This window comes from Homo sapiens, chromosome 17 (genome assembly GCF_000001405.40).
Source record: "Homo sapiens chromosome 17, GRCh38.p14 Primary Assembly".
Lineage (NCBI taxonomy): Eukaryota > Metazoa > Chordata > Mammalia > Primates > Hominidae > Homo > Homo sapiens.
Window position 1 is genome coordinate 36,224,247 of NC_000017.11, and position 25,425 is coordinate 36,249,671.

Sequence of the window (25,425 nt, forward strand, 5' to 3'; positions counted from 1 at the left end):
AATAGAATAACAACAATAACTAATAATAAAAGAGAACAATTAGAATATACTTTTTGTTTTTGAGATGGAGTCTTGCTCTGTCACCCAGGCTGGAGTGCCATGGCGCCATCTCAGCTCACTGCAACTTCCACCTCCCAGGTTCAAGCGATTCTCCTGCCTCAGCCTCCCGAGTAGCTGGGCCTACAGGCACCTGCCACCACGCCCGGCTAATTTTTGTATCTTTAGTAGAGGCAGGGTTTCACCATATTGGCCAGGCTGGTCTCCAATTCCTGACCTTGTGATCCACCCACCTCGGCCTCCCAAAGTGCTGGGATTACAGGTGTGAGCCACTGTGCCCGGCTAGAATATACTTTAACATAAGTTACATGAATAGTTTTCTCTCTCTCAAAATACTGTAATATTTGGGATTGCAGCTGCCCGCAGGTAACTGAAACTGCAGAGAGCATACGGGAGACTACAGTATCTGACAATGGACTTGGATCTAGAATACATAAAGAACTCTTACAACTTGATAATAAAAAGGATATAACCCAATTTTAAAATGGACAAAAGATCTGAACAGATATTTCTCCAAAGAAGACATACAAATGGCCAATAAGGGCCAGGTGGTGGCTTATGCCTATAATCCCAACACTTTGGGAGGCCAAGGCAGGTGGATCACTTGAGGCCAGGAGTTCAAGACCAGTCTGGCCAACATGGCGAAAACCCATCTCTACTAAAAATATAAAAATCAGCCAGGCGTTGTGGCGCATGCCTGTAGTCCCAGGTACTCAGGCAGATGAGGCACAAGAATCACTCGAACCCGGGAGGCAGAGGTTGCAATGAGCTAAGATTGCACCACTGCACTCCAGCCTGGGCAACAGAGCAAAACCCCACCTAAAAATAAATAAATAAATAAAAATAAAAGAAAGAAAATAAATGGCCAATAAGCACAAGAAAATACACTCAATTTCTGTCTTAGTCTGTTTGTGCTGCTATAACAAAATACCTGAGACTAAGTAATTTATAAGTAAAAAAATTTATTCCTCACAGTTCCGGAGGCTGGGAAATCCAAAATCAAGGTGGTAGCACATTTGGCATTTGGTGAGGGCCTGTTCCATTGTTCCCGTTCTCGCAGTGGCATCTTCACATGGCAGGAGAAGAAAGGAAAAAAGAAGAAGAAATGTTATGTGAAGCCTTTTTATAAGGGGATTAATTTCATTCACGAGGGCAGAGCCCTCATGACCTAATCACCACCTTGAAGGCCTCACTTCTTAACATCGTCACATTAGGTCTTAGGTTATAACATGAATTTTGGAGGACTCCAACATTCAAACCATAGAAACATCATTAGCCATCAGGGAAGTGCAAATCCAAACCATGTTAAGATACCACTTCACACTCACAAGAATGGCTATAATAAACAGACACATAATAACAAGTGTTGGAGAAAATGTGGAAAAATTGAAACACTCATATGTTGCTGGAGGGAATGTAAAATGCTTTGCAATGAAGTTGGAACTGCTTTGGAAATAGTCTGGCAGTTCCTCCAAAGCTTAAACATAGAGTTATCATATGACCTGGCAATGCCAGGCTTCATCATATTCCCAAGGGGAAGGAAAACATATGTCCACACAAAAACTTATACATGAATGTTCATAGCAGCATTATTCATAATAGTCAAAAAGTAGAGACAGCTGGGTGTGGTGGCTCCCAACACTTTGGGAGGCCAAGGCGGGAGGATTGCTTGAGCTCAGGAGCTCGAGACCAGCCTGGCCAACAGAGTGAAATCCGATCTCTACTGAAAATACAAAAATCAGCGGGACATGGTATACGTGCCTGTAATCCCAGCTACTTGGGAGGCTGAGGCAGGTGAATGGCTTGAATCCAGGAGGCGGAGGCCGCAGTGAGCCAAGATCACACCACCGTACTCCAGCCTGAGTGACAGACTGAGACTCCATCTCAAAAAAAAAAAAAAAAAGTGATAAACAGATAAATGAAATGTGTTATATTCCTACAACAGAATATTATTGAGCCATAAAAAAAAGGAAATAAGTACTGACACATGCTATAACATGAATGAACCTTGAAAACATTAGGTTACTTGAAAAAAGCCAGTCACAAAAGATCACAAATTGTATGGTTCCATTTATATGAAATGTCCAAATAGGCAAATCCTATCCTAAAAGAAAGTAAATTAGTGGTTGCCTAGGACTGAGGGATGGAGGAAATGGGGAGTGACTGCTCATAGGTATGGTATTTTTTTTTGAGAGAAATGAAAATATTCTAAAATTGATTGTGGTGGCCAGGCACAGGGGCTCACGCCTGTAATCCCAGCACTTTGAGAGGCCGAGGCGGGCGGATCACCTGAGGTCGGGAGTTCGAGACTAGCCTGACCAACATGGAGAAACCCCGTCTCTACTAAAAATACAAAATTAGCCGGGCATGGTGGTGCATACCTGTAATCCCAGCTACTCGGGAGGCTGAGGCAGGAGAATCGCTTGAACCAGGGAGGTGGAAGTTGCAGTGAGCTGAGATCGTGCCACTGCACTCCAGTCTGGCGAGAGAGTGAGGCTCCATCTCATAAAAAAAAAAAAAAAAAAGAAAGAAAAAAGAAAAAAAAGAATGTTTCAGGCAAAGGGAAGAGAAGTGCAATGGTGCTATTTCAGGCAGAAGCTTGTCAGGTTTGCTGTGGTGTGGCTAGTGTGGAAGGACTCAGTGGGAAGGAAAAGAAATGAGGGCACAGTAGTGGGCAGGGCCAAGATAAAATAAAGCCATATGCATACTGCTACATTTTTTCCTTGCTAACATATTTCATTGAATGTAGACAAAACTTATTATAAAGACATAACTTTTGATGTTTGTAAGGTCATCTGTTATTTGCACTCCTTTTTTTTTTGAGATAGGGTCTCACTCTGTCACCCAGGCTGGAGTGCAGTGTTGCCACCACAGCTCACAGCAGCCTCGACCTCCTGGGCTCAAGCACTCCTCCCACCTTAGCCTCCTGAGTATCTGGGACTACAGGCACATGCCACCGTGCCCCACTAATTTTTTATTTTTTGTAAAGACAGGGTTTCTCCATGTTACCCAGGCTGGTCTCAAACTCTTGAGCTCAAACAATCTACCCACCTTGGTCTCCCAAAGAGCTAAGATTACAGGCGTGAGCCACTGTGCCTGGCTTGTTATTTGCATTTGTGATTTTAAAATTCCATGTTTTTTATCATAAGATTGTCAGGTGCTTTCTGGACAGGAAATGCCTTAATTTATGACTCAAAATACAAACAAGTGTAGGTGATCAAATGCATATCTATGTCTTCAATGGAAATATATATACATACAAGTCATTAACGAAGACAAATGAGAACATGAAATTCATGACCTATTTTCCTTTCCATCACCTAGCCCCCTAAAGGAGAGATCTTTTTCATTCAGAGCCCTGGGTTTTGTTTTGTTTCATGATTTGCTTTTTTTTTTTTTAAATAAGAGTTTATTTATTTATTTATTTGAGACAAGGTTTCACTCCCATCAGCCAGGCTGGAGTGCAATGGCGTGAACTCAGTTCACTGCAACTTCTGCCTCCTGGACTCAAGTGACTCTCTTGCCTCAGCCTCCTGAGTAGCTGGGACTACAGGCACGTGCCGCTGCATCCAGCTAATTTTTTGTAGAGACAGGGTTTCACCATGTTGGCCAGGCTGGTCTTGAACTCCTGAGTTCAAGCGATCCGTCTGCCTCTGAGTCTCAAAGTGCTAGGGTTACAGGAATGAGCCGCCGCGTGGCCAAAAGAGTTTATTTTTTAAAGAAAATTGACTTCTTTGAAAACGTAGAAATGAGGCCGGGCGCAGTGGCTCACACCTGTAATTCCAGCACTTTGTGAGGCCGAGGCAGGTAGATCGCTTGAACTGAAGAGTTTGAGACCAATCTGGCCAACATGGTGAAACCCCATCTCTACTAAAAATACAAACATTAGCCGGGTGTGGTGGCAGGTGCCTGTAATCCCAGCTACTCGGGAGGCTGAGGCAGGAGAATCGCTTGAACCCGGGAGGCGGAGGTTGCAGTGAGCCAAGATTGCGCCATTGCACTCCAGCCTGGGCAACAAGAGCAAAACTCCATCTCAAAAAGAAAAGAAAAAGTAGAAATGAGGAAGCGGCCAGCCTGTGTGGGGATCTAATCAAACAAATCTTCCCCTGATGAGGGTAGCACTTAAGTTGAAAAAAATTTGCCTATATAATAAATATTGCAATACTTTATTTATTTATTTATTTATTTTTCGAGATGAGGGTCTCGCTGTGTTGCCCAGGCTAGTCTTGAACTCTTGGGCTCAAGGGCTTCTCCTGCCTCAGCCTCCCCAGTGGCTGGGCTAATAGGCACACACCACCATGCCCAGCTCTACATACTGATTTTTTTTTTTTGAGATGGAGTCTTCGCTCTGTCGCCCAGGCTGGAGTGCAGTGGCGCGATCTCCGCTCACTGCAAGCTCCGCCTCCCGCGTTCACGCCATTCTCCTGCCTCAGCCTCCCGAGTAGCTGGGACTACAGGCGCCTGCCACTGCGCCCACTAATTTTTTGTATTTTTAGTAGAGACGGGGTTTCACCGTGTTAACCAGGATGGTCTCGCTCTGCTGACCTCGTGATCCGCCCGCCTCGACCTCCCAAGGTGCTGGGATTACAGGCGTGAGCCACCGCGCCCGGCCCATACTGATTTTGAAATTTAAAAAATCTACATTCTATATTCGCATCATAGCTTCTCCCTAATAAAATCTTTGTGAGTGTTTATGGGACTTATTCCCCGAAAAATCTGCAAGCAGCCTGGTAGCTTTATATACACAGGAAAGCCAAAGGACAAACTAGGAATTACGTCAGAGATGGGGAAAGACTAAGGATCTTACCCAAATCAGTTGAGAATCAGCCTTAAGTATAAATGGGCCAGGTGTTGGTGGCTCACACCTGTAATCCTAGCACTTTGGGAGGCCAAGGCGGGCAGATCACTTGAGGTCAGGAGTTCGAGACCACCCTGGCCAACATGGTGAAACCCCGTCTCTACTAAAAATACCAAAATTAGCCAGGCGTGGTGGCACGTGCCTGTGGTCCCAGCTACTTGGGAGGCTGAGGCAGGAGAATCGCTTGAACCTGGGAGGCAGAGGTTGCAGTGAGCTGAGATCACGCCACTGCACTCCAGCCTGGGTGACAGAGTAAGACTCCGTCTCAAAGAAAAAAAAAAAAAAAGTATAAATGAAGCACAATTAACATTTTTTAATTTTATAGAGCAAAAGTTCATAAAAATAAATATTCTAATTAACTCTCCTACATCTTATAAACACTATTACCAAACCCATTTAAGATTGAAGATAAATTATATCATGGCATGGGTAAAGATTTTCAATAAGGAGTTGCTAGGATGAAAGTCAAAATTCTCCAGCATAAATTCACTGACAGGGATTTCTGTTTAATCTTTTCAAAATTCTAATACCCAATTTGTTTCCTCTAGAGAATAACTCGTGTAGAATCATAACCTCTTTGGTGGACCTTGATTTTTCCATCTGTAAAAGTATAGAACTAGTTTTGACTTAACAGTCAACAAATGCCTACCCTCTCCATATCTAGCTGATTAGAGCGCCCTCGTGCGCATTTGCTGTAATGTTTTAGAAATCTGAAAAAGACAATATTAATCTCAGCAGTAATACAATAAATAATGTCTTCATTTGCACATTTATAGCAAATGCTATAAATATATAGCTCCAAGTATTACTCAGTAAAAGCTAAAGGCAAATGCTGTAGTAGGTTAATCTTACTGTCGTTCACTATCAAACCTTTCTTATGCCAATTTTATCCTAAAACAGTGAAGTTATTGTTTTGGTTTCAATTTTAATTTAATGACTTAAAGGATTTTTTCCCTTAAAACTTCTAAGTATTTCATTATAATATTATTTCATCATTAGGCTTAAAGGAAAATATGTGGTCAATTGAGTTGTTATTTATTATACATGATAGCTTGACATCATCTTTTTAGGGATGGAAAACAGCTCCAGGGACCAAGTCTAACTCAGTTTTTTGATATAAGAATTTACCTGTCGGCCGGGTGCAATGGCTCACACCTGTAATCCCAGCACTTTGGGAGGCCGAGGCGGGCGGATATAGGTCAGCAGATCAAGACCAGGAGTTCAAGACCAGCCTGGCCAAGATGGTGAAACCCCATCTGTACTAAAACTACAAAAATTAGCCAGGCGTGATGGCAGGCACCTGTAATCCCACCTACTTGGGAGGCTGAGGCAGGAGAATCACTTGAACCCGGTTCAAGTGAGCCGGCTGCAGTGAGCCAAGATCACGCCACTGCACTCCAGCCTGGGCAATAAGAGCAAGACTCCATCTCAAAAAAAAAAAAAAAAAAAAAAAGAATGTACTAGTTTGAATCATAACAATTTCTTCCTACTCAAAGAGACTACATTGGAGGAAGCCAAAACAGAAGCTTATTTATTTATATACTTTATTTATTTATTTTTGAGACAGAGTCTTGCTCTGTCACCCAGGCTGGAGTACAGTGGTGTGATCTTGGCTCACTGCAACATCTGCCTCCCGGGTTCAAGCGATTCTCCTGCCTCAGCCTCCCTAGTAGCTGGGATTACAGGTGTGTGCCACCACGGCCAGCTAATTTTTGTATTTTTAGTAGAGACGGGTTTTCACCATGTTGGCCAGGCTGGTCTCAAACTCCTGACCTCAGGTGATCCACCTGCCTCAGCCTCCCAAAGTGCTGGGATTACAGGCATGAGCCACCAAGCCCAGCCTAGAGAAGCTTATTTTTTAAAAGAAAATACACAAAAAAATCAAAATCTCATAAGTCCAGTTGTAATTTTTTTTTTGGCTTTTAAAAACTGTTAATGCCCTCAAATATTCTCCTATCCAATCACTGTATTTTAAATGGCATTCCTCCAACAAATATTTGTTGAGCCCCCACTATGTGCCAGGATTGAAATGTCAAATTGAAGGAGGCAATAGCTACTGAAGTAAAGCAAAAAAAGTACTGGTTATTTTTCCTTCTATAAAATGACCTAGTAATAACCGCTTTACCCAGGAGAGTTGCTGTAAAGATCTAATAACATGACACATATAACCACACCCCTAAAGAATGAGGTGTTACCGCATGTTCTCACTCATAGGTGGGAATTGAACAATGAGAACACATGGACACAGGAAGGGGAACATCACACTCTGGGGACTGTTGCGGGGTGTGGGGAGGGGGGAGGGATAGCATTAGGAGATATACCTAATGCTAAATGACGAGTTAATGGGTGCAGCACACCAGCATGGCACATGTATACATATGTAACTAACCTGCACATTGTGCACATGTACCCTACAACTTAAAGTGTAATAATAATAAAATAATAAAATTAAAAAAAGAAATTTTGCTTAAATAAATATTATAATAAAAAAAACGAATGAGGTGTTATTAAAATGTTTGCAAGAGAAACCCTAGTAATTCCAAGCACATATTTTAGGAATGGTTTCTTGTGTAGAAAATCCTGGAATGTGAGGCTCTGCTGATTTTTTTAATGCATATTCTCTTCTTATGTATGCGGAATTTTTTTTTTTTTTTGAGATAGAGCCTTGCTCTGTTGCCCAGGCTGGAATGCACTGGCACGATCTTGGCTCACTGCAACTGCCACCTCCTGGTTTCAAGTGATTCTCCTGCCTCAGCCTCCCGAGTAGATGGAATTACAGGCGTGTGCCACCGCACTTGGCTAATATTTGTATTTTTAGTAGAGATGGGGTTTCACCATATTGGCCAGGCTGTTCTAGAACTCCTGACCTTGTGATCCACCCACTTCAGCCTCCCAAAGTGCTGGGATTACAGGCATGAGCCACTGTACCTGGCCTATTTTTGTTTTTACTAATGTTTCAAGAGACCCACTTTATGTACAGAATTCTGGCTACAACCTAACAAATGAGTTGCTCTGTTCATCAGTTATAGCCAATTTAAGTAATTATGAAAAGCTCAACAATACTTTAACTGGCAATGAAAGCGTCAATATCTCACATTTACCACCACAACTTAGGATTTCTTGGTAGCTAAATAAAATGCTTCTATTTTGTGGGGGGAAACTGTCACATAAGTTGAAATTCTGCAATGTTCAATTGATGAAAAGGTCTCTATGTTAAATCAAAGGTATAAATTCCACATCAGTAGTACATGAAAGAGAAAAAAAAAGCCAAAATTAAAGTGATCCATGCCCACTTCCCTGAGTGAACCTAAGATTTTACTAACAGAGATGCCGTAACTTTGATCATGCACACATCAAACTTGAATTTAAAAACATGCATGCACTCACTCATCTTTTATCTCTTATGTAATTAATACTGTAAGATTATATTTTGCCTACGTGCTCTATATTACTAATTTATAGGATTATTACTATTCAGTGTTGTTTACTTGAAACCATACTGTACTATACACAACTTTTGCATTCCATGCTAACTTTATTTTTTTAACTAATTTTTTTTTATACAGAGTCTCACTCACTCTATTGGCCAGGCTGGAGTGCAGTGGCACGATCTTGGCTCCTGCAACCTCTGCCTCTCGGGTTCAAGTCATTCTCCTGCCTCAGCCTCCCAAGTAGTTGGTACCACAGGTACATGCCACCACACCCGGCTAATTTTTGTATTTTTGGTAGAGATGGGGTTTCACCATGTGGGCCAGGCTGGTCTCGAACTCCTGACCTCAAGGTTATAGGCGTGAGCCACGATGTCCCAACTCCATGCTAACTTTAGAGCTTATTTCCCATCCCATAAGATACAACACTACTTGTGTTATATAGTGAGCAGTGTGGGGAAGAAAAGCATAGAATTAAGTTAGTGACAAATCCAGTGAACTCAAAAAGAGGGAAAAAACCACTCCCAAACAATTGTTTTCCCCATATTCTATTCTCCCTAGAGGTAGTCCATACAGGAACGACAAAAGAAAAAAAAGGATACAAAATGAGAAAGATGTTCATGTGACATATAAGTACAGTAATAAAATCAACAAGCATATATGGTATTTAAGCAAAATAGTATGTATGCATTGATGGTCATCTGATATAAATCCATCATTTCTGTTGGCCAACATCTAAAACCTTCACTTTTCTGAGGAGACAAGCTATAAATCTATACGGATATTTCTACAATGAGAATTCATTATTACATATGAACCAATATAATTTGATGTCAAATATTCACAATTAGGTTTAAAAAATCCCCTACTTGGCCGGGCGCAGTGGCTCATGCCTGTAATCCCAGCACTTTGGGAGGCCAAGGCGGGTGGATCATGAGGTCAAGAAACCAAGACCATCCTGGCCAACATGGTGAAGCCCTGTCTCTACTAAAAATACAAAAATTAACTGGGCGTGGTGGCAGGCGCCTGTAGTCCCAGCTACTCAGGAGGCTGAGGCAGGACAATCACTTGAACCCAGGAGGCAGAGGTTGCAGTGAGCTGAGATCGCGCCACTGCACCCCAGCCTGACGACAGAGTGAGACTCAGTCTCAAAAAAAAAAAAAAATCCCCTACTTATGTTAAGAGTACCAAAAATAGGGCCAGGAATGATGGCTCATGCCTATAATTTTGGCACTTTGGGAAGCCGAGGTGGGAAGATAGCTTGAGTCCAGGAGTAAAATAGTGAGACTCTGTCTCTACAAAAAAATAAAAAATTAGCTGGATGGGGCACACACCTGTAGTCCAGGTACTCACGAGGCTGAAATGGGTGGATCACTTGAGCCTGGGAGGTCAAGGCTGTAGTGAACTGTGATCACACCACTACACCCTACACCCAGCCTGGGCTACAAGGTGAGACCCTGTCTCAAAAAAAAAAAAAAAAAAGGTACCAAAAATCTATAGCTGTTTCAGGAATAAAATACATGTAGTTAGTGAGGTTTTTCTCTCCCACTGCTATGACTTAATTTTTGGTTGAGATGCTAAGCCAAACATCATTTTAAGTCTGTGGCCCAACCAAAAAAGGGAATCATACTCTCCAAAGAATTGTACATTCCCACTCTAATTGCTAAAATAAAATGTTGGATTATGAAAATCAATTTTATAGGTATCAATAAGTTATAAGAGCATGGCTTATTTAAAAAAAAAAGTGGGCCAGGTTACCTACATGAGCTGCAAAGCAAGCAAACTGAATTTTCTTATCGAAGAGCCCATCCTCATACTTAAAATTTCCCATGACTACATGGAAATTCTTTCACTTACCAAAAAGACCTGATTGGCACTTTCACTGAGAGTTGCGTCATCTGGGCTGTCGACAGGTGTCTGACGTGTAAACTTGGAATCAAACTGACTTACATCCTCTTCAGATTGCTTTATACAAACAAAATAATTTAGAAAATAATGAATAGTCCATATGACATCAATTAAATGCACTGTAAGCTCTGGGAGCTCTTTTCGCAGGGGTTAACTATAATAAAGTATTAGAATAGTCTTAGCAGGCACTTTTCTAATAGTGGAGAAATGCAAGTGGAAGAAAAAAATGCAAGTGGAAAGTACTGAGTCAAATTACATCTTCAAATCTTAAACATGCACTAAAAAAGATTTTAGTATACTGTTATTCCTATTAAAAATGTGAATATATTGACTGGGCATGATGGCTCAGGCCTGTAATCCCAGCACTTTGGGAGGCTGAGGCAGGCAGATCCTGAGGTCAGGAGTTCAAGACCAGCCTGGCCAATAAAGCGAAACCCCGTCTCTACTAAAACTACAAAACATCAGCCGGGCGTGGTGGCGGGCGCCTGTAATCCTAGCTACTCGGGAGGCTGAGGCAGGAGAATTGCTTGAACCTGGGAGGCAGAGGTTGCCGCAAGCAGAGATCGTGCCACTGCACACCAGCCCAGGTGACAGTGCGAGAGTCTGTCTCAATTAAAAAAAAAAAAAGAAAAGAATATATCGAGCTCAAAACAAGCTGGAAAAAATGTGAATATCAATTTCCCCTCTCACAAAGCTTCAGTGTGCCTAGTCCACTGGCTAAATCCCTGTTTAGAGATAATTAATTCAGTTGGCTACTGCAGGTTTGTAATAAACCTGAAAAACTACTGAAGCAGAGTTAAAACATGAATAATACTGGTAAGATGCTCCAGTTAAAGTTTCTTCTCACAGCTCATTTCATTCCTTCAGAAATCTAAAGGAGCAAAAATAATTTTCTATTCCGCATGGGTTATAAGTTATATTTCCTTGTGAAAGTATAGTTATCACTTCAGTTCTAACCATGAGATTTATTTATTTAATTCCTTCTCTCTTTCCCAAAATATCTGGTTAAACTCTTGGGCCAAATGTAAGAAGTAAATAATAATTTAGAATATCTGACTTAATACTAAAAGATGATGACCACATTGACCTTATAATTCTCTTAGAGCCCAGACTGTGAACCTGCACTCCCTGGAGGAATGGCTGATTCCAAGTGTGGGGAAAATGTACAAGATAAGCATAGAACACCAGTTTCCTTATTTTGCTCTCTCGTACAACACCAGACAATGTGCTCATGTCAAAAGGACTCAGAACCCAACATGAAGATGCACCCAGCATTCACTGCACCCAGCATTCAACGAAGGGAAAAAACGAGCACCAATAAAAATAACTGCTAGGTGCGGTGGCTCACGCCTATCATCCCAACACTTTGGGAGGCAGAGGCAGGTGGATTGCTTTTGAGCTCAGGATTTGAAGACCAGCCTGGTGAACACGGCAAAACCCCGTCTCTACCAGAAACACAAAAATTAGCTGGGCATGGTGGTGTACCTGTGGTCCCAGCTACTCAAGAGGGTGAGGTGGGAGGATTGCTGGAGGTCGGGATGTCAAGCCTGCAGTGGGCAGCGATTATACCACTGCACTACAGCTTGGGTGACAGAGTTAAGACCCTGCCTGAAAACAATAAATGAATAAATAAAAATAAAATAAAAATAACTGCGATGAAAGGAAACACAAATATGTTAAAACGTGTAAGTTCATAATATACTAAAAAAGAAAAAAACACACACACAAAGTTCATTGGTCAATTTTGGAAGATGCTAGGAAACTAATTCATTATTTTGAAAACTAGGAAAGAATCAAACATACATCCTGCCTTTTCTGTATGAACTGTACCTTGGGTAACTAACTGATCAAAGAGTTTCTCTTTATGAAAGAATTCCAGCTAACAAAGAAAGAAGAAATAACAGTTAGAATAAAACCATTTCACAAACACCTGATGAAACTACAAAAGTAGGCCAGAGTTTCTCAACCTCAGGGCTACTGACATTTTAGGCCTATTAATACTTTGCGTTAGGGGGCTGTGCTGTGCTGACTCTTACCCCTGAAGGTACCTATAGCATTCCCTCTCCCAAGCTGTGACAGTGTGTCTCCAGACATTGCCAAATTACCCTGGTAGTGAAATGCTGACACAGGCAGTGACCACTAACATCACTAAAAAAACACACATACGCACACACAAGTACACATTATGCCTCCTGATCAAAGCATATGCGATACTGAGAGTGTAATCTGAATCAGATCAACCACCTAAATTTAACTACCAGTTTTTGGAAATTTGGGGAACAGATGAACATGGTCAATGACACTCTGGGGATAATATCAGCAAAATCAAAATTTGAGAATTCTACAGGACAAATGACCCCGTTTCTTCAGTAAATCACGAGGGGAATCTATAAAGGAAAAGAGACCTAAGAGACATAGTAACCAAACTACATACAGACCTTGATTAACAGGAGGAAAAAAAAGAATGGAACAACAACAACAAAAAAATTAGGTGGGGCAACACAGGGAGACCTCATCTCTAGAAAAATTCAAAAAATTGGATGTGGTGATGCACCCCTGTGGTCCCAGCTATATGGGAGGATCCCTTGAGCCTGGGAAGCTGAGGCTGCCATGAGCCACTATCATGCCACTGCACTCCAGCCTGGGCAACAGAGAAAGACCCTATCTCAAAAAAAAAAGAGAAAAAAAAAAAACTGGGGAAACTGTCAACTTCTTAGGTGTGATGATGGGATGACAGTTATGTTTAAAGAAGATGATCTAATTATTTTTAAGCTGGGCAGTAGGTGTATGACAGTTCTCCTCCTTACAATTGTTTGTTGTTTTTTAAAGTGGGTCACATTATGGGGCATGACCAAAAAATAATCACCATCATCATCCTCCTCCTTCTCCACCTACAGCCCAAGGAATGGAAAAAGAAACTGTGTTTTCTCAGATTCTGAGGTGGCAGAAAGACAATAACACACTAACTCATTTACTCATAAACATATTGTTATGGATTGAATCGTGTCCCTTACTCACCCCCCAGAAAATTTCGTATGTTGAAACTCTAACCTCTAGTTCCTCAGAATGTGACCTTATTTGGAAAGGGTTATTGCAGATGTAATTAGTGAAGATGAGGTCCTACTGGAGTAGAGAGGAACCCTAATCCAATATGCCTGGTATCCTTATAAAAAGGGGAAATTTGGCCACAGATACGCACACAGGTAGAACACCATGTGAACATGAAGGCAGAGATCCAGGTGATGCACCTACAAGCCAAAGTATGCCAAAGATGACCAGCAAACCACCAGAAGCCAGGGGAGAGGCATGGAACATAAGGTTTCTCACAGTTGTCGAAGAAACCAACTCTAACAACGTGATCTAGAACTTCTAGTCTCCAGATCTATGAGATAATAAATTTCTGTTGTCTAAGCCACCCAGTTTGTGGTACTTTGTTGCAGCAAGCCTAGCAAACTAATGCACACATATTCTATATTTTGAAGAAAAAATTCCCAGAGAATCATATTTAAAATGGTTAAATTAAGCAAAATAAAACAAACCAAAAAAAGAAAAGTCCCAACTACCTGAAATATTTAATTGTCTTAGGAAACTGACTTAAAAATATCTAATACAGGCCGGGCACGGTGGCTCACGCCTGTAATCCCAGAACTTTGGGAGGCCGAGGTGGGTGGATCACAAGGTCAGGAGTTCAAGACCAGCCTGGCCAAGATGATGAAATCCTGTGTCTACTAAAAATACAAAAATTTGCTGGGCATGGTGGCAGGTGTCTGTAATCCCAGCTACTCAGGAGGCAGAGGCAGAGATTTGCTTGAACCCAGGAGGTGGAGGCTGCAGTGATCCGAGATCACACCACTGCACTCCAGCCTGGGGGACAGATCAAGACTCCATCTCAAAAATAAAAAAATAAAAATAAAGAAGAAAAACGCTATGGAATTTGACTAGAATTAGGGCTAACAATATGAAGCACTTTGGGAAGCCAAGGCAGGTGGATCACCATGTCGGCCAGGAGTTTGAGACCAGCCTGGCCAACATGGTGAAACCTCATCTTTACTAAAAATACAAGAATTAGCCAGGTATGGTGGTGAGCACCTGTACTCCCAGTTACTCCAGAGGCTGAGGCACGAGAATCACTGGAACCCGGGAAGCAGAGGTTGCAGTGAGCTGAGGCAGCCTGGTGTCCAAGCTGTGGTGAGCCATGACCATACCACTGCACTCAAGTCTGGGCAACAGAGGAAGTCCCTGTCTCAAAAAAAAAAAAAAAAAAAAAAAAGGGCCAGGTGCAGTGGCTCACACCTGTAATCCCAGCATTTTAGGAGGCTGAGGCGGGCAGATCATGAGGTCAGGAGTTGAAGACCAGCCTGGCCAACATAGTGAAACCCCATCCCTACTAAAAATACAAAAATCAGCCGAGTGTGGTGGCATGTACCTGTAATCCCAGCTACTCAGGAGGTTGAGGCAGAAGAATTGCTTGAACCTGGGAGGCGGAGGTTGCAGTGAGCCAAGACCACATCATTGCACTCCAGCCTGGGCAACAGAGTGAACCTCCATCTCAAAAAAAAAAAAAAAAAAAATTTAAAAAGGGAGTATAGGGCCAGCCGCGGTGGCTCACGCCTGTAATCCTAGCACTTTGGGAGGCTGAGGTGGCTGGATCATGGGGTCAAGAGATCAAGACCATCCTGGCCAACATGGTGAGACCCCATCTCTAATAAAAATACAAAAAATTAGCTGGACACAGTGGCGAATGACTGTAGTCCCAGCTAATCTGGAGGCTGAGACAGGAGGATCGCCTGAACCTCGGAGGTGGAAGTTGCAGTGAGCTGAGACCATACCACTGCACTCCGGCCTGGTGACAAAGCGAGACTTCGTCTCAAAAAAAAAAAAAAAAAAAAAGAGTTTAAAAAATTCTTTACAGAAGAATGACAATATAGGAAAAATACAGAAAAAGTAGAAAAGTCTCCATTTTCTAATCACTATAGTAATATTTGATTTGGGCAAGAAGCCATCCAGATGAAACCATTAAGTAAAGATTATTATGGGACAGAATATTCACACTGTTTCTATCATGCCATAGATCACTTGTTAATTACAAAAGGAAAAAGAGGCTGAGAATGGAGTCTCACGTCTGTAATCCCAACACTTTGGGAGGCCAAGGAGGGCGGATCACCTTAGGTAAGGAGTTTGAGACCAGACTGGCCAACATGGCAAAACCCCATCTCTACTATAATTACAAAACTTAGGCAGGCATGGTAGCAGGCACCTGTAATCCCAGCTACTTGGGGGGCTGAGGCACGAGAATCGCTTGAACCCAGGAGGTGGAGGTTGCAGTCAGCCAAGATTGCACCACTGCACCCCAGCCTGGGTGACAGAGTGAGACTCCTTCTCAAAAAAAAAAAAAAATGCCCTTATTCTTAGGAGATGTATAGAAGAAATTAGGGGTGAAGTGCTATGAAATCTGCAGTTAACTCTCAAATTGTACAGAAAGAAAATTTATTAATGTTAAAAAATGTCAATATTCATAGATACACATATATGTGGGGGCAGGTAGAAAGGGAGGGACACAGAGACAAAGAAAATATGGCAAAATGGTAACACCTGGTGATCACTGAACTATTCTTGCAACTCTGAAAAGTTTAAAAAATTTCAAAGGTATATTGTTTTTGAACTGCTCGGGAGGTTTAAATTTTTGAATTTTTAAAATAAGCAATCAATTGTGAGGAAGTCTGAGAAGCCACAGACTTAAGAGATAAGATGAAAAATAAGGAAAGTAGAATCACAGTAATAAGAGGAACAGAGTTTCAAAATGCTGTGGTCAGTCAGTAGCTTCAATGCAAAAGAAAGTTAAATTAAGGACCAACTCAGTAAAGACAACTGGATTCAGCAACTGGGAAGTCAGTGATGACCTAGGGTACAGGAGCTGCATTGAAATAGTAGAGTTGGGCCACGCGTGGCCCACATCTATAATCCAGCAGTTTGGGAGGCCGAGGTAGGTGGACCTCTTGAGGCCAGGAATTCAAGACCAGCCTAGCCAACATGGTGAAACCCCATCTCTACTAAAAATACAAAAATTAACCCGAGACAGTGGCGCACCCCTGTAACCCCAGCTACTCAGGGGCCTGAGGCATGAGAACTGCTTGAACCTGGAAGGCAGAGGCTGCAGTGAGCTGAGATAGGGCCACTGCACTTCAGCCTGAGTGACAGGGGAAGACTCTGTCTAAAAAACAAAAAACAGGCCTGGCGTGGTGGCTCATGCCTGTAATCCCAGCACTTTGGGAGGCCGAGGCAGGCGGATCACGAGGTCAGGAGATCGAGACCATCCTGGCTAACACGGTGAAACCCCATCTCTACTAAAAATACAAAAAATTAGCTGGGCGTGGTGGCAGGCACCTGTGGTCCCAGCTCCTCCGGAGGCTGAGGCAGGAGAATGACATGAACCCGGGAGGTGGAGGTTGCAGTGAGCTGAGATTACGCCACTGCACTCCAGCCTGCGTGACAAAGCCAGACTCCCTCTCAAAAAAAAAAAAAAAAAGACGTAAACTGGGTATGTGCCTTTAGAGGTGGTGCACATTTTTAGCATTATAAATGAATATAAATGAGTGGCAACTGTTACTTTGGTCCACAGATTTTTGGTATCTTAACTAGTTTTTGGTCTCTTCCACTAAAGGCATTGCCTGTTGAACCTTGTTAGGAATGTAAGTACTGAAGGCAAACTGCCTGGGTTTGAATTTTGTTCTGTCCCTTGCACCCTGCCTGGTTTCAAATCCTAGCTCTGCTTATTACGTTCTTTTAAGGGGATGACCTTTGAGCAAATGTCTTAGCTTCTGTTTTCCCCAGTAAATGGACACAATAGTTGCTACTTTGTGAAAGATTCATGTAATTGACCAGCGTTTACCAAGTAGCATCAGTGTTTAGTTTCAGTCATTGGTGATTCTGCAGTTGGACTGTGAGGGGGTATTGGGGTGGGGGGTGGTGTGTGTGTAGCACTTAATTGCAGGCAGGAAGGAAAAGATACTTTTGATAACCGACAGGCAGCTTTTCTCTGCTTTTGTGTCAAAAGGGAGGAAGGGAGTTTGGAGAGGGAAATGAATTCTCTGTAACACTAAGCTCTCTTCCTCAAAACCAGAGGTAGATAGAATGTGTAATAATTTACAGAATTTCTAGACTTCAACGATCTGATTTTTTAAATTTATTTTTATTTTTTCAGGTTGAGACTGAGCTAAAGTTAATCTGTGGCGACGTTCTGGATGTACTGGACAAACACCTCATTCCAGCAGCTACAACTGGCAAGTCCAAGGTTTTCTATCATGAAATGTAGGTTCTATACTAACAATTAACAAGTGTACTTCAATAAATTTAAACATTCTCAGGAATAGTTGACTTTGTTTCTTTTTTTCTTAGACATTTCATATTATTTTCCTTATTAAATATAACCAAAAATCCCACAGAAATTAACTGAGGAGCCTCTAAATATCAACAAAGTTATCACTTGATAGACTAGAATTAAACAAGCAAGTGGTTCCAAGAAATGGCACGAGTGTATTAATCATAAAATAAAATTTCTACATGAAACATTCAGCCATTCTAGACCATTTCTGTCTGTGCAGACTCATCTTTTCCTGTTCTTTGCAAAGCCCAGCTAGAGCAAGCAAGTTCTTCCCAATAGGTTTTTCCCATCTCTGGTTGCTTGGCTGGCTGGGCTTCCTCTACAAACCCCCTTCCTTTCCCCTAAGCAGGGCCCGGTGTCCCCATCCCGCGGAGTTGAGCTCATGAGGGCATCTGACCAGGAGTAGCTATTCCTGGTGCTATTGTCATTGTCCTGTTTCATGTGTGAACATGGCTGGCTCTACAGAGATTTGGCGGGTAGCAAGGAGGTTTCTTTTTGAATCTTCTTTTGGAAGTCAGACTTGATGAGGATCTTATGCCCACTTTTTCCTAGCTCTGTGGTGTCAGGCAAAGTCTGTTTCTGCAAATGGGGGTTAAGAATTCCTACCTCACAGCAGTCTTTTGATAAATAAATAAGATCTTAAGTGTAAATTATTCCACTAGAAATTGCACAGTCACTTTGGTCTTCATCCTGGAGGTCCACTGACAAGCCTCATGCAAACCTGTGGCCCTGTTCATAAAGTGTTTTGATCCATACTTTCAAATGGCCTCAGGAAGACCTTTTATAAAGTAAAAATGTTAGGCAGCCACATGATATCCATTGACCCAGTGAGGCTGTTTTACTGGATATAAGAGGTTTGACCCGGCATTTTGGGGGGCCGAGACAGGCAGATCACTTGAGGCCAGGAGCTGGAGACCTGCCTGGCCAACATGGAGAAACCCCATCTCTATTAAAAATACCAAAAAAATTAGCTGGGCATGGTGGCACATGCCTGTAATCCCAGCTACTTGGGAGACTGAGGCACAAGAATCGCTTGAACCCGGGAGTCAGAGGTTGCAGTGAGCCAAGCCGAGATGGCGCCACTGCACTCCAGCCTGGGCAGCAGAGTGAGACTCTGTCTCAGGGGAAAAAAAAGGGTGAGGGGAGGGTTTGAAAAAATAGTAGCATGTAGTTATGTTTCTACAATATTTGATATATATAAGGATTTACCAACCTCTTGCATTAGCTGCTATCCCCTACAGCAGTTGCTGTAGGAAAAAAACATCAAGTTCTGAGCTCCTACTGTTTGCCAGGCATATTCTGAGATGATCACGTTGAAATCTCAGAGTTACCCTGCAGAGTAGTCAGGGTATCACTGCCTGACAGATGAAGAAGCTGAGGCTTCCAGCAGATAAATGACTTACCCCAGGCCACATAGAAAATGAGTGGGAGAGCCCAGGTCTGTCTGTGAGGTATAATGAAATTAGCATAAACCCTCCACATTGGCGCCACTCGCATAAATTAACATATATTCTCTCACAGAAAGTATTTTATTGGGCATAACAGTTTGTATCATTTACCGTTTAACATTAGCCGTGGATCTTCCCACATCACATGACTATGCCTCATTCTTTTTGGATAATATGATTACTATTGAATGGATTTACTATCATTCACTTAATCAATACTCCTTTTGATGGCCATTTTAATTGTCTATTTTTTCCTTTTGCACAGATTGGTGTAATAAACGTGATTTTATAGTAATATTTTTGTCTGCCTGTGAAAATGTTTGCTGGACAATAAATTCCTAGGAGTCAAATAAGGTCAAAGATTATAAATACAGTATTTATTTTCATAAATATTACCAAGTCAGCCACAAATGTTTAAATTACTAATGGTTTCAGATTATTGTATTTAATGAGTAAACACTTTTATAGGGTTTACTTTTATGAACACTTTTATTTGCCAGATATCATTCTAAGTCCTTTACAAAATTAACTTTTTTAATTTGTAATATAACCCTGAGATGTATATTAGGATTATCCCCATTCTACAGATAAGAACACTGAGAAGTTAATTAACTTGCCACATATCTAGGAAGTGGCAAGGCTAGTTGCACAGCCAGGCAGTCTGGCTCCTGAGTCCACATTTTAGACAACACTATACCTCCTGGTTCTTTTGAGGCATTACTGCTGGAACTATCCTAATACTCATAAATAAACATTTCTTTTGGGGAGGGCCAAATAAAATTTTAAACAGAAAAGTTTTCACCAACTGTCAAGCTCATAAAGTTGTACGTTATACACTTTTTTCATGATGCCCACAGATAATTTATTAATGATATCATCTATTTTAAAAGACGTATGTAAAACCCAACCCTTAAGAAAGGATTCCTATCACTGTTCCCACAGGCACCCTCCTCAGTCTTATACCTTTCCATTCCACCCCCCAAAACAAATCATTCAGCATATTTATTTCATACTGTAATATAGGAAGTAGCTTCTTTTTAGATTTTCTTAGATTATTAACATTGATCATACAAACATGGAATAGAAATTCCTTATGTTTTATCTGGATTTAAGGTGCTACATAATGGAATCTATTTCTATCAAGCCATACACATTGGAGATAATGAAATCACTTGTGTTCTAGCCTAAACGTTATGGGAATTTCAGAACTGCAACATAACAGATAATCCTTGGACGAAAACTAAATCTCTCCTCTGGTCAGGCATCTATGTGCATCAGTGAAGAGAAGACGGGGACTGTGGAAGGGAAAACAGTGAGTCAGGAAGGACTGTGGCCACATCTGTTCCCCGGACCCTCAAGTAGTTAAATCCTGACCTCCTCTACCCCAGACTGTCCTGGGGAATGGCCAACACTGGCTTTTCACAACTGTGTGTTACCAGAAATGCAACAGAAACCCAGCTGAATCCCCAGGGTTTCCCTTCTGCCCTTCTCAATGGAAAGATCTGTCCCAGGACCATTTATTCCAACATTTTCAATTATGAGAAATCTGGGAAGATAAAGTTATTTTCACATTTCTCAAGAAATACATACTTATTCATACTCATGACAGGAAAGTCAGAATCTACAGAAAACCAAGAAGATTTTTAAAAATCCATGATACCACCATCAAAAGAGCCACACTTAGTATGTTGGTCCACAGGTTTCCTAGCACCCTTTTCTGTTGGTGTATGCACAAAATACACAATCACATTCTGTCTACATTTTACAATTTGCCATTTTTTGATTAACACTATATATTGACCAATTTTTAAGACCTGCAACATATGTCGACAACATTATTTCAGAATAATATATTTATAAATAAACGCACACACAAACTGTCTGTCTTATATACAACACGTCTTACTTTCTAATTCTCCACTCTGGAAGATTTAGGTTTTCCTAACTTTTTAATATACTCACCAGGAATCAGTAAACTTTTTTTATAAAAGGCCAAAGGGTAGATATTTTAAACTCTGCAGGCCATAGGTTTCTGTTGCAACACTCAACTCTGCTGTTGCAGGGAAAGAAGCCATACACAATTTGTAAATGAATGGGCATGACTGTGTTCTGATAAACTTTACAAAAACAGGTGGTGGACTAGATGCAGCCTGCTCCTCTGGACATGGCTTACCAGCCCCTGACATATACCACTACAGAGGATGCTGTTAGAATGAAATCTCTTTACACATCTCTGATCATCTCCTTAGGACTAATTGCTAGACATGACATCATGGTAGCTGTGGGTCAAAGGGCATGCACGCTCTGGGATGTACATTGCCAGATTGCTCATGATCAGCCTTTCTCATGTCAAAATGTTTTGTGACCACCAGAAGGCTGGTTCTGCTTTTATTATCCATTGACTGAGGAGTAGAAATGACATGGCATGTATGCAGGATATTTAACCATCGTATAGATAATCCTTGTGCACAAGTGCATTCTATATTCTTTCCCAATAGGTCTACATCTGCCAGAGTTGAAATAAAATAAAACAAAACAAACCTATTTAGCACCTTCTGTGTAGCAGGTCCATTCATGTATGTTGTTGTATTTCATTCTCAGAATTCTTATGACCTAGGCATTTTAAACATTTTTTTAAAAATATTGAGTTGACAAGGATTGTGTATATTTAATGCATACAATGTGATGATTTCATATATGTATATATTGTGTACTAATTATCACAATCAAATTTATTACATCCATTACCACCTATGCTGTACATTAAATCTCCAGAATTTGTTCATCTTATAACTGAAAGTTTACACCCTTTGATTAATAGCTTCCCATTTTCCCCACCTCCAGCCCTTGGCAACCACCATTCTACTATCTGTTTTTATGAGTTTGACTCTCTTAGATCCCACATATAAGTGAGATCATACAAAACTTGTCTTTCGGTGTCTGGCTTATTTCACTTAGCGTAATGTCCTCCAGGTTTATCCAGGACAGGAGTTTCTTCTTTTGAATGGCTAATAGTCCATTGTTTATATGTATTTTATTTATCCATTCATCTGTTGCTGGACACTTAGGCTGTTTCCATATCTTGGGTATTGTGAATAGTGTTGTAATAAACATGGGGCGCAGATCTCTCTTCAAGGTTCTAACCTGATTGCTGAATCGTATGGTAGTTCTGCTTCTAATTTTTTGAGGAACCTCCATACTGTTTTCTGTAAAGGTTATACCACTTTACATTCCAACCAACAGTGTACAAGGGTTCTCTTTCCTCTATGCTTTCGCCAACACTTGTTATCTCTTGTCGTTTTTTTATAAGAGCCATCCTATCCTATGAGGCAATATCTCACTGTGGTTTTGATTTGCATTTCTCTGATGATTAGTGGTGTTGAGCACCTTTTCATATGCTGGCTGGCCATTTGTATATCTTCCTTGGGGAAAAAAGTCCATTGGGGTCCTTTGCCTATTTTTAATTGCGTTATTCATGTATTTATTAATTTTTGCTATTGAATTGTGTGAATTCCTTATATTTTTTCAAATAACCCCTTATCAAATATATGGGTCGCAAATATTTTCTTCCATCCCGTAGGTTGCCTTTTCATTTTGTCATGGTTTCCTTTGCTGTGTAAAACCTTTTAAGATTGATGTAGTCCCATTTATTTATTTTCACTTTTGTTGCCTGTGCTTTGGTGTTACATCAAAAAAAATATTGCCAATTATGACCAATGTCGAGGAGATTTTTCCCTATGTTTACTTCCAGGATTTACATGGTTTCAGATATTACATTTAAATCTTTAATCCACTTTGAGCTAATTTTCTGTATATGATGTAAAACAAGTGTGCAATTTCATTCTTTTTCATGCACTTTCCCCAACACCATTCATTGAAGAGAGTTTCCTTTCTACATTGTGCCTTTTTTTTTTTTTACAGTACAGTGAAAGCAAGTCTATTAAGAAAGTAAAGGAATAAAAGAATCTACATTGTATATCCTTGATGGCCTTGTCAAAGATCTGTTGACCATATATGCACGGGGTTATTTCTGGGTGAGCTTGGCATTTTTTTTTTTTTTTTTTTTTTTTGAGACAGAGTCTCGCTCTGTCGCCCAGGCCAGACTGCGGACTGCAGTGGCGCAATCTCGGCTCACTGCAAGCTCCGCTTCCCGGGTTCACGCCATTCTCCTGCCTCAGCCTCCCGAGTAGCTGGGACCACAGGCGCCCGCCACCGCGCCCGGCTAATTTTTTGTATTTTTAGTAGAGACGGGGTTTCACCTTGTTAGCCAGGATGGTCTCGATCTCCTGACCTCATGATCCACCCGCCTCGGCCTCCCAAAGTGCTGGGATTACAGGCGTGAGCCACCGCGCCCGGCCGAGCTTGGCATTTTTATCTACCTCATTCTACCGATGAGGAGGCCGAGTCTCAGAGAGTTCACAGACCTGCCTAAGGTCACTCAGCTAGAGGTGATACAACCAGGGTTTGAACTGAGATCTGCCAAGCTTCTGAGTTTATTCTTTTTCCCCCACACCAAGGATCCTCAATTCTGCCTTACTGACATCAGGATCCGGTCAATTCTTTGTGATGGGGGCTGTCCTGCACCTGGCAGGATGTTTAGCAGCTTCTCTGGCCTCCACCCACTGGATGCCAGGGGAATGCAGAAGAGGCTTGTTCATTCTCCCATTTAATCCTCAGGACAATATCTGACATAAATGTTACGTCTTTTATTTTATAAATGAAGAAAATGAGACTCAGAAAGGTTTAAGTGAGTTACTTAAGAACACACAGACAGCAAAGGTAGAACTGGAAACCGAACACAGGTGTCCACATGGGACAACAAAAAAGTTCACGTTCCATCTTCTTTTGAGTCTCTCATTTCAATAATTACCATTGTGTGGATATGAGCTGAAGTACAGGAAACCTGGGGCTGAACTCTCCTCCCATCAGGCCTAGGAGCCCCAGACCAGAACCCCAGCCCAAGGTCTCCCAGTCAGGCCCGCTGGTGTGAGCTGGCATCTACACTAGCATGGTCTCCCAAAGCTGCAGGGATGCCAGTCTCGCCGCTGATGAAGAAAATGAAGGGCATTTCCTTCTCATGCAGGCTGTCGGGATTTAACACAGATTCCTTTTCTTGCTCTCTTCTCCCATAGCACAAAACTGGGTGGTCCATCCCCCTCCCAGTGTCCCAAGGCTTTGTTGCGTGTTCTCTTTAATTTCTCCCACTCTTGCGGTGTACCCTACCCTCATCTCCCTGGCAACCTTTCTGCTGTATCCTCTCGACACCTGGATCACAAGAACACTTGTGAGACCCCTTAACAAGTTACATCCCAAATTATCATTCCCCTTTGTCCTCAGCCAGTGCTCAGGTCCAACTTGCTCTCCTGGGGTGACTTTCTTTCCTGCCCAATATGGTTTCATCATCTGTAAATTGGGGATAATTAAAGTCTTGATCCTGATATTTGACTCTCAAAGCAGAAGTAGCAAGCTCAGCCAAGTCACTTCAACAAGAGGAGAAGTTCCTTGTGAACCAAAAGGGCACTGGTCACAAGGGCCGCTCCTTCTTCTGTCAGGCCTCTCCAGCACGCCCTTGGCTCAGCCAAAGAAGAGACTCAGGCTGTGCTTCTGCACTGTTGGGATAACATAGGCCTCTTCCATGTGGTTCCACACCAGGAACATGGGGACAATCAGACCTCTCCCAGTGTGGGCATAAGGATACAAGATCATGTCAATATTGACATTCATAATGGCTGGGCGCAGTGGCACACGCCTGTAATGCCAGCACTTTGGGAGGCTGAGGTGGGCAGATTGCTTGAACCCCAGAGTTCGAAACCAGCCTGGGCGACTTGGCAAAACCAGTCTCTACTGAAAATACAAACAATTGGCTGGGCTTGGTGGCGCACACCTGTAGTCTCAGCTACTTGGGAGGCTGAGGTGGGAGGATTGCTCAAACCCAGGGAGGTTGAGGCTTCAGTGAGCTATGATGGCACTGCTGTACTCCAACCTGGGCAACAGAGTGAGGCCCTGTCTCAAAACAAAAACAAAGACAAAACAACATTCATAATAGTAGCAATAGCTACTATGTGCCAAGCCCAGGCACCTCTTCGAGTCTTTGCTGTCACCCTATCAGGTAAGCGTGCTTAGAAGTTACACGAAGCACACGGCTCAGTGTTTGGCCCACGGTAAGGGCCTAAAAAGGGATAGCCCCAGTGGTGGGGATGCTGCTGCTGCTGACCATTAACCCCAGTCTGCTCCACCTTCTTCCAGGCAGTCTGTGAGATGTTTGATGTCCGAGGCAAACAGCACATTCAGATCCCCAAGCTCTACACCTCCAGTGTGACCAGGCACCTGCACCACTTCAGGCTC

General features: G+C 42.0%; 1 long non-coding RNA gene across 1 annotated transcript; it reads right to left on the bottom strand.

Moving 5' to 3' along the window:
- Positions 1-1,036: 1,036 nt before the first annotated feature.
- LOC105371747 (uncharacterized) lies at positions 1,037-13,561 on the bottom strand. Its single transcript, XR_934703.3, has 3 exons — positions 13,303-13,561; positions 10,201-10,308; positions 1,037-1,123 (listed from the first exon to the last, which is right to left on the bottom strand). It is a non-coding gene; the product is annotated as an uncharacterized LOC105371747 (long non-coding RNA).
- Positions 13,562-25,425: the final 11,864 nt, after the last annotated feature.